This window comes from Homo sapiens, chromosome 19 (genome assembly GCF_000001405.40).
Source record: "Homo sapiens chromosome 19, GRCh38.p14 Primary Assembly".
NCBI lineage: Eukaryota > Metazoa > Chordata > Mammalia > Primates > Hominidae > Homo > Homo sapiens.
Genome location: NC_000019.10, coordinates 52,509,113 through 52,516,882, shown reverse-complemented (window position 1 = coordinate 52,516,882; position 7,770 = coordinate 52,509,113). Strand labels below are relative to the sequence as shown.

Sequence of the window (7,770 nt, the reverse complement as noted above, 5' to 3'; positions counted from 1 at the left end):
TTTGTGTGAGCAACGAGGCTGTTTATTTCACCTGGGTGCAGGCGGGCTGAGTGTGAAAAGAGAGTCAGCAAAGTATGGTGGGATTATCATTAGTTCTTGTAGCTTTTGGGACAGGCGGTGGAGTTAGGGGCAATGCTTTGCAGGCAGGGGGTGGATCTCACCAAGTCCATTCTCAAGGGTGGGGAGGATTACAAAGAGCCTTCTGAAGGGTGGGGGAGATTACAAAGCACATTGATCAGTCAAGATGGTGCAGAAATAAATCACAATGGTGGAATGTCATCACTTAAGGGTATTTTCACTTCTTTCGTGGATCTTCAGTTGCTTCAGGCCATCTGGATGTATACGTGCAGGTGACAGGGGATACGATGGCTTAGCTTGGGCTCAGAGGCCTGACACAAAGGAGACCTCACCCTGAGCAAATACAGTCCCCCCTGCGGCCCTCCTCACCATGGAGGATAAACTCCTACAGGGAAACTCTGGCTCCCCTTCTGGAGAAGCCCACACACACATGCTGCAGCAGTTGGGAACTGGGCTGGAATGAGCTCCCCTTCAGGGCACAGACCTAAAGTTGAGGAAACCCCATGCAGAGGCTGGTTGCAGTGGCTCATGCCTGTCATCCCAGCACTCTAGGAGGCCGAGGTGGGTAGATCACTTGAGCTCAGGAGCTTGAGACCAGGGGTGGGAGGGCATGGGAGAGAGCTCTGAGCCTAGACCTGAAGGAGGAGAAAGGGACAGGGTACATAGGGTAAGAGCAGGGACAATGACCTGAGACAGGAAGGGTTTTGATGTTTGGGAAAAGAGAAAAGCAAATGTGACTGGGGCAGAGGGAGTCATGAGATGAGGGCAAGCTGCCAGGAGGAGGCTGGACACTGGCAGGGGCCCTGCACACGGGGCTGTGGAGCCACAGTGAGGGGTTGGGCTTTTGTCCTGGGGAACACGGGAAGCCGGTGGAGGGTTCCCTGCCAGGGATTGACGTGACCTGCTTTAGATTTTGCTGTGATGTCCTCATACAGAGAAAGGCCTTGAAGATGGTCTCTGTGTCTGAGTCTACCTCTATTTCTTCCATTCTTCTGCTTTTGTTTTTCATTTTTAGGGCACTGCATCCCATTGAAAATTCTAATCACAACTGGGCACTCCTCAAAAAAAAAAAAGCCACACCCAGACACGCACTCCATTTTGCCAATCATTTCAACGGTCAGGGACACTCGGGTTGACCTTTTCTGGTCAAGCCCCTCGTCGCCAAGTTGCAGGGAGGCTCACTGGGGCTCAGATCGGAAGACATTTTCACCAAGTTACCCTGAGAAGGTCTGAGATGAGTGAGAAGGTGTCTAAAGTCTTACATGGGGTCCTGGAAGGGCTAATGGCAAAGGTTGCTCTTATCACCCCCATCCTTGAAAATTAGAGAAACCTCTTTCACAAACCTGGGCTAAAGAAACTTCTTTTGCAAGGTTCTGATGACATTGATTCCTGACAGTTAATTCTTCCTTACAAAAAACTCACAGGAACATTTATAAAATGCAGAAGTGTGAACACACAGCTATTGACCTTGGAAACAGTGAAAGAGGGTCAGCTGTAGAACTAAGAAATAAGCAAATTATTTCAATCAAGAATACATGAGTGGTCAGGCACAATGGCTCACGCTTGTAATCCTAGCATTTTGGGAGGTCGAGGTGGGCAGATCACCTGAAGTCAGGAGTTCAAGACCAGCCTGCCAACATGATGAAACCCTGTCTCTACTAAAAATGCAAAAAATGAGCCGGGAGTGGTGGAGGGCACCTGTAATCCCAACTACTCAGTAGGATGAGGCAGGAGAAATCACTTGAACCCAGGAGGAAGACATTGGAGTGACACCAGATCGCACCATTGCACTCCAGCCTCAGCAACAAAAGCAAAACTCCATCTAAAAAAAAAAAAAAAAAAGAGTCTCGACGTGGTAGCTCATGCCTGTAATCCCATCACAGTGGGAGGCTGAGTCGGGTGGATCGCGAGGTCAGGAGTTTGAGACCAGCCTGACAAACATGGTGAAACCCTGTCTCTACTAAAAATACAAAAACTAGCTGGGTGTGCTGGTGGGTGCCTGTAATTCCAGCTCCTCAGGAGACTGAGGCAGGAGCATCACTTGATCCAAGGAGGTAGAGGTTGCAGTGAGCTGAGATCGCACCACTGCACTCCATCCAAGCTGACAGAGCGAGACTCCATTTCCAAAAAAGAAAAGAATACATGGGTGCTTTTGGAGCAGCGCTCTATGCCACTCCAGCCCATGTTTCAACATTTTTCCAGAATGGACCACAGGGCCTTGAGGGAAACACACAATAAATAGCTCCCAGCTCAAGATTTTAAAAAATGACATAAGGAAAGAAAACTGAAAAACAGACTAACTGCTTAAACTACATTTTGATGTTTATTTAAAAGGTCACTGACATCTTTACCAAGTACACACTGCAACAATCAAACTTAAGTAGTAGGTACCACAGCCTTCCAATAAATAACAAAGACTAGAAAGCATGCAGACCTCGATCTGAACTGGATGCAACTAATTTCAAACAGCAACTCTTTTGAAATTGTTGTAGGAAAAAAATCTCACGAATTTTGGGGTCAACCGGAAAACAACTGGAAAATATACAAGTACAGAAACGAATGATGTGAGCTGATTACAGGATGCTGCAAAGGCATCTTTCAGAAGTCATTATGTGTTAAGAAATAAAACTATTAAAACTAAGATATATCTCAAACTCAATCTGCAAAAAAGAAAAAATAAATAGAGAACTGAAGAGGAACCAGAAGGAAAAAAAAGGGAAGTCTATGACACAACGAGAACAAAAGCATTTTTGATGTCTGTTTTTTTCATTTGTTTGTTTGAGATGGAGACTCACTCTGCCAACCTCGCTGCAGTACAGTGGCACGGTTTTGATTCGCTGTAACCTCTACCTCCCAGGTTTAAGTGATTCTCATGCCTCAGTGTCCCAAGTAGCTGGAACTAAAGGTGCACACCCCCACCCCTGGCTAACTTTTGTATTTTTAGTAGAGATGGGGTTTCACCATGTTAGCCAGGGTGCTCTTGAACTCTGATCTTAGATGATCCACTCACTTCAGTCTTCCAAAGTGCTGTGGGATGAGACACCCCGGGTTTGATATCTTTTTTTTTTTTTTTTTGAGACAGACTCTCACTCTGTCGCCCAGCCTGGAGTGCAGTGGCACGATCTCGGCTCCCTGCAAGCACCGCCTCCTGGGTTCACACCATTGTCCAGCCTCAGCCCCCTGAGTAGCTGAGACTACAGGTGCCCACCACCATGCCCGGCTAAGTTTTTGTATTTTTAGTAGAGACGAGGTTTCACCGTGTTAGCCAGGACGGTCTCAATCTCCTGACTTTGTTATCTGCCTGCCTTGGCCTCCCAAAGTGCTGGGATTACCGGCGTGAGCTGCCACACCCAGCCTGATATCCCTTTTAAAACTACTATGGTATATCCCTTTAAAAAAGTACTATCTCAAAAAAGTACTATCTCTTTAAAAAGTACTATCTCAAAAAAAAAAAAAAAAAAAAAAAAGGAAAAGAAGAAACAATGCCAGGCGCGGTGGCATATGCCTGTAATCTCATCACTTTGGGAGGCTGAGGTGGGCGGATCACCTGAGATCGGGAGTTTGAGACCAGCCTGACCAACATGGAGAAACCCTTTCCCTACTAAAAATACAAAAAATTAGCCAGGCGTCGTGGCATATACCTGTAATCCCAGCAACTAGGGAGGCTGAGGCAGAGGAATCGCTTGAACCCAGGAGGCGGAGGTTGCTGTGAGTCAAGATCGCACCATTGCACTCTAGCCTGGGCAGCAAGAGCAACACTCCATCTCAAAAAATAATAATAAACAGGCTGGGAAAACTGGCTCACATCTCTTGGCCATGCTTGTTTCAAACTCTTGACCTCAAGTGACCTATGTGCCTTGGCCTCCCAATGTGCTGGGATTACAGGCGTGATCCACTGCACCTGGCCCAATCCTCTTATCATAAACACCTGCATGTCAATTAAGGCTTGAACTCAATGTTAAGTCAACACAAACTCAAGTCAATGCTGAATTGACTCCAATGTCAATTAATGCTTGATGGTTTGCTATACTCACTGCATTGGGAACAGTTATCTCAAAAATGAATTTTCTGATGTTCTGCAAGGAGTGACCTCGGACTGAAGACCTTGCCACACTGATGACATTTGTAAGATTTCTCTCCAGTAGGGATTCTCTGATGTCTAATGAGGTGTGAACATGAAGTAAAGGCTTTGCAACACTCATCACACTTGTGACATTTCTCTCCTGCATGAATTCTCCTATGTTTTGCATAGGATGAAGCTTGACTGAAGACCTTGCCACAGTCATGACATTTGTAAGGTTTCTCTCCAGTATGAGTTCACTGATGAACTGCAAGGTATGAACGATGTCTGAAAAATTTGCCACATTTATTACACTCGGAAGATCTCTCTTCATTATGGATTCTCCAATGATTTGCAATCGTTGTAGCGTTACTGAAGACTTTGTGACAATCATTACATTAGTCAAGTTTCCCTACACCATGAATGGCCTGATGGTAAGTGTTGACTGGTCACTAAAGGCTTTGCCACACTCATTACACTTGTAAGGTTTCTCTCCAGTATGAATTCTCCTATGTCTTTTAAGGCGTGATCTGTGACTGAAAACTTTGTCACATGCTTCACATTTGTAAGGTTTCTCTCCAGTATGAAGTCTATGATGACATGCAAGGCTTGATTGATGAATCAATCAAGTGATTGTGAGCCTTACCACACTCATTACACTTGTAAGGTTTCTCTCCGCTATGAATTCTAGTATGGTTTGCCAGATAAGAATGGCACATGAAAGCCTTGTCACAAACCTTACATTTGTAAGGTTTCTCTCCAGTATGAAGTCTATGATGACGTGAAAGGTGTGACTGTACATTAAAAGTCTTCCCACATTCATTACACTTGTAAGGTTTCTCACCACTATGAAGTCTACGATGGCATGGAAGAGATGACCTGTGACTGAAGGTCTTGTGACACTCATTACACTTGTAAGGTTTCTCTCCAGTATGAATTATCTTGTGTCTCTCAAGGTTTGATTTCTGACTGAAAACTCTGTCACATTCTTCACATTTGTAAGATTTCTCTCCAGTATGAAGTCTATGATGACGTGCAAGGCTTGACTGATGAATAAAAGCCTTACCACAGTCATTACACTTGTAAGGTTTCTCTCCAGTATGAAGTCTATGATGACGTGAAAGGTGTGATTGTTGATTAAAAGCCTTGCCACATTCATTACACTTGTAAGGTTTCTCTCCAGTATGAATTGCCTTATGAATTACAAGGGTTGAATTTTGACCAAACATCTTGCCACACTCATTACACTTGTAAGGTTTTATTCCAGTATGAAGTCTACGATGGCATCTAAGGGATGACTTGTAACTGAAGGACTTTCCACATTCATTACACTTGTAAGGTTTCTCACCAGTGTGACACCTATGATGGCATGTAAGGGATGACTTGTAACTGAAGGACTTTCCACATTCATTACACTTGTAAGGTTTCTCACCAGTGTGACATCTACGATGGCATGTCAGGGATGACTTGTAACTGAAGGACTTTCCACATTCATTACACTTGTAAGGTTTCTCACTAGTGTGACATCTACGATGGCGTGCAAGGTATCGCTTCTCATTAAAGACTTTGCCACATATATCAAATTTATATTGTTTTTCTCCTAAATGGATTATCTGATGTTTCCTTACAAATGAGCTACAATTAAAGGCTTCGCCAGTCTCATTACATTGGAAAGATTTTTCTCTCATGTGTACTTCCTGTTTTTGTGTGAGTAATGATGAATGGAAAAAATTATTCCCATAGTTATTAGGAGTATGTGTTTCAGGCCTACAAGAAATTCTTTGGGATGTTGAAATTGAGGAAGCATCGTTGACAGACTTCTCCACTTGATTAGCAATTTTCTCTTCGGGCTGAAATATGTGGAGTTCAGGAAGATGCAAATGAAAGCTTAATCCAAGCTGATCTTTAATAGGCTTGTTTCCAGCATGCCTTTGATCATGTCGGTCTGTGCTACCCATCAACTCTTTGATTTTTGGCATGGATGCTTCATGGCCATTTCTTTCATCTTTTTGTGACTGAAACTCAAAGTCATGAATATCTTTTTCAATTTCCTGGAAGCAAAAATCTCCAGTGTGATAACTTTCATGTCTTTGCAACATCCCTGTGTGGATCACTTCTGTATTGCCTTGCCCTGTTGACAAGACCTCCTTCATCATGCGTTTGGAAGAGATATCTACAAAATATAAACACCAATACGTTTGCAATTAAGTGCAGATGGTAAATCATACTGAAGTGTGTAAATATGACACAATAAAAAATACTTATTTTAAACTTCCCAAACATGATCTTCAAAGTTTACGAACACAAAAGTAGTAAGATTCTTTAATAAATAACAGACAATTACATGTCCTTCAAATCAAGTCTATAAAAGCTTATTTCCTATATCATGACAAAACACTGACAGGGCACAAACATGTGTAAGCCTAAAGTAAGGAGTATTTTTCCACTGTGACCCTACAGTGTATCACAGTTTGCAAAAAACATATCACTGTCACATCAAGGAAGAGAAAAATATATACTCTTCATATTTAAACCATATTTACTGTGTACAAATAAATGCAAAAAAAAAACACCACACAATATACTATATTGGTAAATAATCCACAACAAGCTCATGTAAGGATAACCAAAAGCAATGGAAATTCTGTATTATCAAACAATTATAGCACTGAGAAGATAAGAAAAGATTACAAAAATTAGCCAGGTGTGCTGGCCCGTGCCTGTAGTCACAGTTACTCAGGAGGCTGAGGCACAAGAATCACTTGAACCGGGGAGGCAGAGGTTGCAGTGAGCCAAGATGTCACCACTGCACTCCACACTGGGCAACAAAGTGAGACTATGCCTCAAACAGAAAAAAAAAAGGAAAAAAAAGAAAAAAAAAGTTAATACAATACTTTTCTCAATAAATGTCATAAAATTACATATATCCACACAGAACAGGCACATAGTGACTTTTGAAACCATTTTTTGTAGTTTTATTTTTTTGAGACAGTCTTGCATTCCAGCTTGAAGTGCCATGGTGCCATCTCAGCTCACTGCAACCTCTGCCTGCTGGGTTGAAGTGATTCTCCTGCCTCAGCCTCTTAAGTACCTGGGATTACAGGCACACACCACTATGACTGGCTAGTTTGTGTGTTTTTGGTAGAGACCGGGTTTCACCATGTTGGCCAGGCTGGTCTCCACCCCCTTTGGCCTCCCAAATTTCTGGGATTGCCGGTGTGAGCCACTGCACCTGGTGGCACTTTTGACATTAACGAGTGGAGTGTGTCAGTTATATTGCATACCACATACTGAAAAGCCATATGCAAAATTATAAAAATTAATTAATAAAATATTGTAACCCATGATAAAACCAGCAAGCAAATAAGTACATTTATACAGCCTGCAGAATTCTAAACAATTCCCTCTTAAGAAAAAAGCCACAACATCTACTTAACCACCAGCACACAATATAAGAACTGAAATACATGTTAAGATCACTACCTTCTGATGTATGAGGTCAAGAAAATACACAGCATTATAAGGAATAAGAACTGACTAACGGCTGGGCACGACGACTCACAACCTGTAATCCCAGCACCTTGGGAGGCTGAGGCAAGTGGAGCACGAGGTCAGGAGTTCGAGAACAGGCT

General features: G+C 42.9%; 1 protein-coding gene across 8 annotated transcripts in view; it reads right to left on the bottom strand.

Moving 5' to 3' along the window:
* The window catches only part of ZNF578 (zinc finger protein 578), a 63,330-nt gene continuing 55,560 nt past the window's right edge, over window positions 1-7,770 (bottom strand). For all 8 annotated transcript variants that reach the window (NM_001366182.2, NM_001099694.2, XM_047438189.1 and 5 more), the window contains one exon: window positions 1-6,311. In NM_001366182.2, coding sequence (NP_001353111.1) covers window positions 4,729-6,311 — 1,583 coding nt within the window. In that variant the 3' untranslated portion in view covers window positions 1-4,728. The remainder of the gene's footprint in view (window positions 6,312-7,770) is intronic.